The sequence below is a fragment of the Homo sapiens genome, chromosome 2 (genome assembly GCF_000001405.40).
Source record: "Homo sapiens chromosome 2, GRCh38.p14 Primary Assembly".
Classification (NCBI taxonomy): domain Eukaryota; kingdom Metazoa; phylum Chordata; class Mammalia; order Primates; family Hominidae; genus Homo; species Homo sapiens.
In genome coordinates, this window is record NC_000002.12 from 26,384,423 (window position 1) to 26,395,885 (window position 11,463).

An 11,463-nucleotide genomic window follows, 5' to 3' on the forward strand; every position below is an offset into this window, starting at 1 on the left:
GGAGCTCTGTTCAGCTGAGCAGGCGTGTATTGTATAACCTCCTGTGTGCTTAGAGACACTGAGATGTGGTATGCCAGTCGCACCTCAGAGTCTTTCATTGTGAGCTGTCTTACTCTAAGTTCTCTATCACTTTGTGTCAAAGCCGCACTTTGAGGTACTCTTCTAGTATTTTATGTTCATCTTATTTACCCCATTAGAATATCTCATAGAACAAAGTCCAGATTTTATTCATCTTTATATTCTTAGCACAGCAGTTGATAGTTTGGTTTAAAGAGAAAAAAATGGGATTAGAGGTCAGAAGATTTCAGTCCTAATCCTGGCCCTGCCACTTGGTACCAAGTTTTGTAAATTTAAATTCTCTTATCCTCACTTAGCCTGTCTGTAAAATGGGATTAATGATGTTGGTTCTGTCTATGCCACAAGATTATTGTGAGTATAAAATAAGTGTATAAATAAGGAAACTATAAACTACAGTACAAGTACTGTACAATTTATATGTAATAATGTTCTTTATATTACTTGATTTTTTTTTCCAGAAGCTATAAAAATAACACCTTGAAACTCAATTCAGTCTATGAAGCTATGGTTCCCTTATTTTCTCCATGCTTGCTGTTCATTTTGTCTACAGCGTGGATCCTTTGGTCACCTTCAGATATTTTAGAGCTACATCCTAGAGTATTCTACTTTATGGTTGGAACAGCTTTTGCCAACAGTACAGTAAGATTTTTTTCTTTTAAAAATCATAATATATATTAGGATTGTATGACAGAATTTGATAATTTGAAAAATCTTTAATATTAGAATAAACAGATTTTAACTTAAAGATTTTTATTTCAGAAATTTGAAAGAATAGTAACCTCAAAGACTGAAATGCTGAAAATTATTTTATTTTGCCCTTTGAAACCAATAGGATTGGAGACTACAGTAGTATTTTGGAACTATGGCACACTTAAATTTTTTATTTTGGTTGCCCGCTGAAGAATTCATGGAAAAAATTTATAGATTCCCTTTAGACTCTAAATATATTACCAGTATGGCTAAAATAGCTGCAGACTTAAATGATTATTCTAGGAAGCTTGGAAGAGATTTTTGAGAAAGAGAAAACACACACTTTAAAAATCAGCTGATTTTAAGATTAAGAACGTGGAATTTAAAACTTTGTAATAAATAGAACATATTCTTATAAATTCCTTTCCATGCTGGACTGTGCAAGAGAGCAGACAGGAAGCAGAGATCAGGAGTTGAGAAAAGACTCTGATAGTCCTGAAAGCCAGAAGGTCTGTGTTCTAGCTCAGGCTGGGTCCTTAGAAGTTTTTATTTTGTAACTTAGCTACTCATCTTATGTTTCCATGTTTGTAACGTGTGTAATATCTCAAGTCTTGCTGATTTTATAGGGTTTAAATATCTAAAAACACTAATGCATTGTATAAAAAGTGTCTCTGAAAGAATTAAATTATATTCAAGTAAGGTCTTCAAAAATAAAGGAGCCAAAGAGGTTTTGAGATACTAATTATGGCAATGGGACTGAATTGGAGATAGCACTTCTTCATCATTGCCATAAAGAAACTTAATTGTGTGGGGGTGTGGGAGGCTATTTTGATTTTTTTTTTTAACATATCGTAGAATCTTAAAATTGAGAGAAATTTCTTTTATTCAAACTGTTGCCCAGTGGGAGAATGCCTTCTATAGCATCCTTATTCAGTTATCTTCCAGCCTCTTCTGACACACACTCTGAGGTTACATGGGTTTTTGGGCAGGGCCAGGGGTCCAGTTGGGCCCCTAAGCATTGAGAACTTCTGAACTTAGATAATGTAAGTGTGTTGGTTCAGGTACTTGAATGCTTTTCAAATGTTGGAAAGACTAGTTTTGGAAGTGCTTTGCTAATGAAATTTTTCTTTTTTTCTCTCTTATTTTTTTAAATTGACGTCCAGTGTCAGCTGATTGTTTGCCAAATGAGTAGTACCCGGTGTCCAACTTTGAATTGGTTGCTGGTTCCTCTCTTCTTGGTTGTCTTAGTGGTAAACCTAGGAGTAGCCTCTTACGTTGAGAGCATTCTCCTGTATACATTAACAACTGCTTTTACTCTGGCCCACATCCATTATGGAGTACGAGTGGTGAGTAATCTACAGCAAAATGGGTTCAATTTGGGGCTTATAAATGGCACCAATAAATGCCTCCGAGTAGAAAGGAGGCAATGGAAAATTTTAAAAAGAAAGTTGCTTATTATAGTAGCTGTAAGGGTTTTGGGATATTCTCTAAATTTTGGATAATATCCAGATGTTTAATTTCAGATATTGTTTCTCTAATGAGTATGTTACTGTAATAACAAATGATTTTAAAGCTGGATAATTATTGTGAGGAATTAGTTATTACTGTAAGTGGGTATGTATAAGCCATCTTCTTGGTGAGTAGAATTGTAAACTGAGCCTTTAGTTATATGGGATCAGATAATCACATTTGTTAATTATCTATTTCTTCACTTGCTTCTTTAGCTTTAGGGGCATTTTTATTGTTCATTAACAAAATTTGGAAAGAAATGTAATTGGTTGTGTAGTGCTTTTTCCCTCCCACTGCCCAGTTTGCTAAGCAGTTGTGGTGAGGGAGATTAGAATTTCTGACTGAAGGAAGACTTTGGCATTATTTGAGGTTTTACTTCATTTATGTTATTCTCGAGCCCTCATCAGCAAAATTGATAAATAAGGGGAAATATAGAAGAAAAGGGATTTTGAGAAATGTTTTGTAAACTTGATATTTTCTTCTAAAATAAACTAATTTTAGGAGAATGGACGAATATAGATATAATGAAATCAAATGGAACCATGTGGTTTTTCTTTCACTTTAACATTCTTTTCTAATTATTTTACATTTTTAACATAGGCTGTGCAATATTCCACCAAGGAGATTACTTAATAATGACCTTGCACAGTACAGTTATTTTAATCATTTAGGTTGTTTCCAGATTTTCACCATTATAAATATTGCCCTAGGCTGGGTGTGGTGGCTCATGCCTGTAATCCTAGCCCTTTGAGAGGCTGAGGCGGGTGGATCGCTTTAGCTCAGGAGTTCGAGACCACCCTGGGTAACAGTGTGAAACCCTGTCTCTACAAAAAATACAAAAAAAAAATTAGCCAGATGTGGTGGTACAGGCCTGTAGTCCTAGCTACTTGGAGGGCTGAGGTGGGAGGATCGCTGGAGCCCAGGAGGTCGGGGCTACAGTGAGCTGAGATGGTGCCACTGTGCTCCAGCCTGAGTGACAAAGTGAGACCCTGTCTCAAAAAAAAAAAAAAAAAAGAAAAAGAAAGAAAAAAAATGTTGGCATAAACAATCTCGAATATTTTTGTTTCATTTGTTTTATTTTCCGAGGATAATTTCATAGGAATGGGGTTGTGACAGGGTATTCACATTTTTATGACTCTTAAAACACTTCTATTTGGTATGCTTGTTTGAAAGGAACCCTGCTGTTAATCCGTTTGAGAAACAAAATATCTTCTGTATTTTCACACACAGTTTTTAAGTGGGAGAGGCAGCTATCATGCTTGATAACAACTTTATACCTTGCATATGTTGCTAAACTTGGGCTTTCTTCCCTTAGTGTTTCTCTACAAAGTTGCCCTCATTTGTTAGAACAAACTAGATACAATTGTTAAGGAGAAAAAAGCTGTGATGAATTGTGATATAAGACATAATTATTTTTGTTTTTATTTGTACAAATGTAACCTTATATACCTTATATCAATACTCTTCGGCCTTTATCCTGATATTTCATCAATATATGCATGGCATAGAATATCCATTTGCCAGTGTCTTTTTTAATTGTTTTCATTTACTATAGCCTTTTAGAAGCATATCTTTAGAAAGCTACATACATACCAAACCAAACCAAAATATACTTTTCTTTAAATGATAAAGGTACTACATTTTCATTGTTAAAAACCTGGAAAATAAATAACACGCTAACTGGAAAACAATTTAGGATCATCTTTTTTATCTGTCTTTGTGTTCTTTTACCACATCTACAACTTCTGGCCAGAAGTTAAAACTTGCTAGGCCACACAAAACATTCACTTGAACTGCTGAAATGTAAATAATAAGTATCAAGTAAATGACATGCACTCGCTGACCTATAACTAAGCTCTTGCCTTCCCACTAGAGATACCCTAACTAATAAGGCCTCTCCAAATTCATAGATCTAGTTTTGTACTATTTCATCGGGATTAGGAATGATTACTTAGAAATGTTTAGCAAGCTGAATATAGAGTCTAACTATAAATATGATTACTTGATCTAGATGCTACAGGTCAACTAATCCTATAGTTTTTCAGATTTGGATGTGAATTTGAGTGCTCTGGAGGGTTCTCAAGACTAGATTTTAGTTCTAAGTCCTAACTTTCCCATGTTAGTTCTAGTACTTCCATTTAGCTGTCTAGTTCTATAGCTATCCTAATCCAGAAAAACCTTTTCAGTATTTCTCATGATTTTTGCCGTGTCAATAAATTGTTATCTCTAGGGGGTAAATTCTGTGTGCTTTTAAAAAACAATAAGGTACATATTTGTCACTGTCTCATGTTCTGATTTTTCATAGGTAAAGCAGCTGAGCAGCCATTTTCAGATTTACCCCTTCTCATTGAGGAAACCAAACTCAGATTGACTAGGAATGGAAGAAAAGAATATTGGCCTGTAATAATCTTTCTTTGGGCACAAAGAAGTACTGTAAATAAATGCTTGTAAATATTTCCTCCATCACCATTGAACTAGACTGATCTGCTTGACAGACGTGGGATCTCAGTATGGTACTTGGACAGCAGGAATGATACATATAATCTGAACTTGGGAAATTTTGGACCTACTAACTCTAAGCCTATTTTATTTTTTATAAAACTATGTGACATTTTGGTTGAGCAGAATGTACGTTAGACCAGCAAAATGTTCCTAATGGTTCTAACTTCGTGAGTTTACAATGTTGTGATTCATGCAGGGTTAAAGATGCTTTGTTTTTATTTTTTAAGTACCAAAATTGGTTTCAGAACACTGATAACACTCAGAAAACCACAGTGTGTTTTCATATTTGGAACTTTGTAATAGCGGGAGTAGCAGTAGTCCAAACCTAGTATAGGGAAAGGATAAAAATAAGTCACCTTCACCAAGAGATGCCAATGATTACCAAACAACAGACAGTTGCCAAATACTGGTTTCTCTTTCCCCTGAAAATGGCTTTTGTTCTCAAATGATAAGAGAGCTAATACATTTAGCTAATATTCTAGCTCTCTTTATTATGGAACAGATCTTGATAGATGGTTTAATTTTCTCCTAAAGAGAAATAATCAGTTGAGAATTTGAGAATGGGTTGTAATTATCGCTCACCCATTGGGATGGTTCATTGTTTAAATATGGCATTTTCCCCCCTTCAGCTGCAGGTTCCTGAGATTTGGTGCCTGTGAGCTCTGATTGTAGGAATGCATGTGACAGTCCCAGTCCTATGGTAATGACTTAGGAGGAATGCAGATAAAAGTACCTTGTAAGATAAATATAAATTGGAGTTAGGAATTTCATGAACCTCACTATGACCAAAATTAATTTTTTGATTCAGTTTGTCTGTCTGTCTGTCCTTCCCCTCTCTTCTTTTTTCAGGGTGAGGTGCTGTGTTTCTTATTTCATACGAGATAAAACAGAGAGAAGTTCTCTCTTCTCCAGCTTGTCCATTTCCCCACTTGAAGAAAACTTTTGATATATATGCCTTACTGAGTACATGCCCCCTTTAATGTTAACATGACTTGGAGTAATTTCTGAGGTTTACTGACAAACATAAAAATCCCTTTAATTGTAGTGTAGTTGTTCTATAAACCATATTTTTTCATGATGTGGATATTTTCTTCTATTTCTTTGTCTTCATTTAATTTGGTGGTGGTGAACTTTACTTGCTGATTTTCTTTTATTTTTCACTGAATGAAGTTTGTGCTTGAATGAAGAGTGTATCTTAAACCCCCTTTTTTTGGACAGGCTGCACTTGGATAAAATAGGCACCACTGTGTTGATATGTAATTAAATTCATAACTATTTATGAATGTGACCATTGTTAAATTTAATTATAGTGTATTTCTTTCTTGAATTTCAGTCTGCTGCTTTGTAAAAAATAACTGTAATTGATATTTCATTTTTAAAATTTATAAATTCCAATCATTGTCATTCAAGTTATTAGAAATGAGTCACGGCACTAACTCATGGTTCTATACTCATTTTAAGAAATTGTAAAGGTTGAGGTGTATTTGGTGACTTTCTCTGAGACACAGATGAACGTTGGAAATAGATGAGAAATGGATGCAGAATAATGCAGATAGTGATCCCATGTTTGTTAATTGCCATCATGGAAGTCAGAGAATTAACCAATTAAGTGACGGTAACTATTTTTTGTATACCTTGTTCTTTGTGATCTATAAAATTAAACTGGATAAAATGTTAATTGGGGGTAGGGAAAAAGCTTTGTTTTAAGATTTCTAAGCTAATTATTTTACCGTTTTGTTGACCTTGTACACAAGAATGAGATTAATCTGTATTATATAAGAAAAGAACTGATAAATATTTATAAAATGACAAACTTGGACCACAGGCTTTCTTGACCTTGTACAGTATAGTAAAAATACCCTTTACTTCTGACATTTTAAGGTCACGTCCTATAGTTTGGGGGCCCTTTTACTTCAAAGGTGTGTTTCTGCCCTCTTTTGGTTGTATCAAATTTATTTGAAAATTGTTTTGTGCTGTACTTTATGACTTGTTTCCCTATGGTGGTAAAGAATGATGCCATAGTCAGTTTTATTGACATTGTTAGATGAAAGAAAAGTAGCTGTCAACAAGGGGAAAGTGAAATTGAGCAATTCACTGTTTCAGGATACTTGAGGATCTTTAGTGTACTGCTGACTCTTTTTCTTGTTTTGTCTGCCATTCTTGAAAGTGCATCTTGAGAGCCCCCATTTGTTGTGTAGAGATATAGCAGCTGAAGCAGGACTTCATTCCAGATAGCTGTGTGCATTTATGTCATGCCAATTACTATAACATTTCCAAAGTATGAAAGGTCTTTCAGGCTTATGCATGATATTGTGGGTGACTTCATGCCCCAGCCTTTCTCCCCAGCATACAGTGAGCTGCCTTTTGGGGAGCAATGCCATGATAAGGAGCATACGTGCATGTTTTCCGTACTTTCAGAATAGAGTGCCTTAGCTAGGCCAGAGGCTCGTATTGTGTTTCTGCTGACCAAAGTTGCATACACCTGTAAGAAGTGTCTTTTTAGGTTATGGTATTAAAAAAGTCGTTTCAGGCTTATCAGATAATAATTCTCCTATATTTGAGGGGGGCATGGGATAAAAAGATTTAATAATACCTGGATAGAGAATGCTAATGCTGCCTTTTGTGATCCTTTAATATTATCCATGCTTTTATAAAGTGCAGTACACATTTTGACATTGCCACAGTTTACAGTGTCATTCTTCCACGAATAGGTAATTGATAGAGTTTATGGGTCTTAGTCTTAAGGGTAACAGAGTGAATACCTTCCAAATAAAAAGCTAAATATTCCTCCTTGTCATTTTAATGTCATTATTGAAATACTTTTAATTCTAATTTTCAAAAGAAAGCTAAATGCTGATTGTGGTTTAGGATGTTACAGTACTAATACCATCATGTTATTTATTCTAATATAGAGGCATTGAGAGGAGGGGAGTGTATGTCTAGAGTTACCCCAATTCTAAATAGGTACCAAAAGAGTATTGATTATGACCTGGAGCCTGAGCTTTGGGAGAATATACAAAGGAAAAAGCAGGCATAGTTTCCACTTTAAAGGGAAGAAGGGACTTTAACATCCTATGAATTTGAAACATCCTATGAATTTGAAAGTTTCCTAAGTGTTGTTTTCAAAGAACTGGTTTATTTTATAGTCAGTCAAAATGCATTTGGAATGTACCTTGCTTCCATAACAGACTTTGACTCTATGACCTATGAAGAATAAAAAGATAATCTGAAGGTGTTTGAGTCAGAGGCTACTTTTCCCCTTTATATTTTATATAGAAGCCTATTTGTAATTCTTCCTCTTCGTTCTTCACCTGGGTTTCCTCTTATCTACCCACCACCTAGGACAGAGGCTGCCCACTCAGGTCTTGCCTTGTTGCCCCTAGATGTTGCCACATTCACATCTCCTTGATGGCCTTAGATCTCTTGACTAGTCAAGGACTGGGAACGTGCCAGGGGGAACAAAGTAAGCTTGATGGGCTGGAACTTTTGACTTTGGGTCCCCAAACAGCCAAAAACAGATACAGAAATCTTTGGTTGTGTGGATGCCTGTGTTCAGAGTGGCCTTATCTTGACCTCAGTTCTGGATTTAAGTACTCTATAGAAAATTTGTGAAGTCAGACCAGAATTTTCTTTGTCCCATGAGGTGTCTTTGTAAGTCAGCATGCTCTTGCTTGAACACCCTGTGGGTGAATAACTTTAGTAAGTTAGCTGCCAGCATTAGAACCTTCCAGGAAGAATTTTAACTAGTATGCTACATTTGAAGCACTCTGACATGTACATTTAAAGTGACAGTTTTAAAAGTAAAATGGTGTTAAATCTCTGAAACTTGAACGTATGATGCTCTGGACATTTTAGGAAGCTTAAGTAAATTTCTGATTTTCCTTTATTGATTATGTAACCCACGTGATTTGCATATTTTAGTTTTTATGTTTGACAGTGGTACAAATGACTGACATTGGCAGGCAGTTATTGTAGGGTATATGGTTAATCACGATTGTCTAACTTTTCCAGAGAAAGTGGTGATATGCTTCTTCCTTGCATGGAGCTGTGGGAATTGGATTTGTTGGCTCTTCATTTCCAGTGTTTCTACAGTGCAGAATAAATGTAACTTTTTAAGCCTGCATGCTAGTAATATGCTTTGCTCTTTAGTAAACAAATATGCAATAGATAGTAATCTATCTACTTTTTTTAAAGCAGGGATCTGCTCCCTATCTAGACAGATCTTTTAATGCATTAATATTTAGAGTAGCAAAAGAAGTTTTGCCATTTGTAGCTCTCTCACAGGTAGCTTAAGCGAGGGGGTTGTGTTGCATGTGCTTAGAAAGGCCAGGATCCCAGAATTGGAAGGTGCCACATATACTTTTAGAATATTTTAACAAAGGCTTGTCTCTAGGAAAATCCACTTGGACTGCAGCAGGATTGTTCTGGTCTTCCACAGACCATTCACATGGTCTTTCTCTCCAGAGAATCATTCTTAGAAAGCCAGGCTAAATCAGAGTAGTGCTGTTTTTAAAGCAAGTATATTGGATGATGGCTATAGGGTACCTTAATGCTGTGTTGAAATTGGAAGCAGACTGCTCTTCAGCAGCACATATACTGCAACTGAAGTTAGAGACAGTACTGAAGACGAGGGAGTAGCTAAATGCTGTGGATATTTCATGTCTGTTTGGCTAATGTCTTCTCTTGAGGAGTTTCTATGGGTAGCAATTAAAATTAGAATTTATTTTAAGGTTTTTATTAAAATATATACAATTTGCCATAAATTCTAGATTCTGATATTCTTGACAAGCACTTTTTGAATATCTCAAGAGTAAGTTCTTGACCTGGAACATATATAGTTAGTACTTGATGTCACTAACCAAGTTGTAGAAGGAGCCTGTTATAATTCTGCAAGATCTGTGAATAGCATTATAAATCTGGGGCAGGTGCCTGTAATCCCAGCACTTTGGGAAGCCAAGGCAGGTGGATTGCTTGAGCCCAGGAGTTCGACACCAACCTGAGCAACATGGCGAAACCCCGTCTGTAATAAAAATACAAAAAAATTAGCTGGGCATGGTGGCATGTGCCTGTAATCCCAGTTACTGGGGAGGCTGAGGCAGGAGAATCACTTGAACCTGGGAGATGGAGATTGCAGTGAGCAGAGATTGTGCCACTGCACTCCAGCCAGAGTGACAGAGCAAGACTCCATCTCAAAAAATAATAATAAAAATAAACAAATCTGTTTAAATTACTGTTGCCTTTCAGCATTAGACTTTGAGTTTAATAACTACAAATTGAGACTGCTCACAATATTAACTTTTTTTGTAGGTTATTTTGTTGTTTAGATAACTTGCCTCCCTAGAGGAGCATTCAGGAGATAAAGACCTAGCTACATGTAATGATATGATCATTTCAAAAATGTGCCAAGAAAGCAAAATTCATTATTGAACTCTAAATTTCTGGGTGTTTTTTTTTTTAAAGTAGCATTTTCTCTGGGTAAAGGGAAAGGCAATGAATGATTGCCAACATGTAAACTCCCTGCTGCCCGCCTTCCCCCAGTCCCCTCCATCTAACATAATACAGTAAATTTGTAGCCAGTTGTAGAAAAAGAAATTGATATCTTTCTGAGTAAGGTTTCATGCCCTGTGACTAAGAATAGGTGGAGGAATCATGGCCAAATCAAATATGAATTGTTTAGCTTGGTCCTGTTGCAGTTGGCTTTCTGTAGTGTTCTGAAACAAGAGGACGATTCCATTCCTTCTCAGGAACCTAGAAACAACACCGCTTGAGCAACTGGAATATGTTTGCTGCAAGCAGAATATTTTGGGGAGAGGAAGAGTAGTTTAATTCAAGTAGTTTAATTGAACATATTAGTCATTGGTCTGTCTGGGACGTGCAGTGTTCATAGTAGCAATGTATGTACCATTTATTTTATCTGGTTGTGTGTGATGTGTGTGTATGCCTATTTAATATGTACACATATATTCACTACATATGTATGTATGATATATTCATATATACATGCAGTCTGCTTGATTATCAGCAAAATGGTCAGCCTTTATCAGATAGTTTCTTCATGTGGAGTTCATCTGCATGTGGCCCTTACTCTGAAGCCTCTTCCTGATCTGGAGCCACAGTCTGTCTGTCTTCCAGTTCATCTCAGTCCTCGAGAAAGGCCCTTTAAATATGTCACTTTCCCATTTTCCTTTAACCATGGGTTGTGTGAGCCAGAAAGAGCTTTGAGAAAGATGGCTGCTTCCACCAGGGTGGAGGCTTCTAGGTCTGCATGATGATGGGGCCCGTTTCTGGCCAGAGGGTGGCTCTGGGAGCAGTTGTGCTGCGGGCTTGCTGGGGGAGAACTCTAACTGTTGCAGAAACAGAGCTTCATGGCTTGCTTAAATTACTTAGCTGGAATATTTTAAAGTGTCAGATAATGTGATGTACAAAGAGAGTATGCCGATGCATTTCATTGTTTTTGCATTATCTGTATCAGTGTTTCCCATTGCTAGCCCGAATAATCAAGACCAGACTGTTTCTTGTCACTGGATTCTGGAAGCCTTGCCCTTTCAACTGGATTTATGTTTGTTTCTGCTGCTGTGAAACCCCAAAGTAATGCAGTAGGTTTTAATTGAAAATTGTTTAATTCTATTATTGATAATTATTTATTGTAATAAAAGTAAAAGAGTAATTTTTAAATCCTTTTAA

General features: G+C 36.2%; 1 protein-coding gene across 2 annotated transcripts in view; it reads left to right on the forward strand.

The window, feature by feature from the left end:
* The window catches only part of SELENOI (selenoprotein I), a 49,743-nt gene extending 38,280 nt beyond the window's left edge, over positions 1-11,463 (forward strand). The window contains exons 8-10 of one of the 2 annotated variants that reach the window (NR_137633.2): positions 629-717; positions 1,932-2,114; positions 4,583-11,463. Coding sequence is in view for 1 of the 2 variants with exons in the window: in NM_033505.4 (NP_277040.1) it covers positions 537-717; positions 1,932-2,114; positions 4,583-4,681 (463 nt within the window). In the remaining variant the exon portion in view is untranslated. Of the gene's footprint in view, positions 1-536; positions 718-1,931; positions 2,115-4,582 lie in introns of both variants that reach the window. The other variant, NM_033505.4, reaches the window with a different exon arrangement.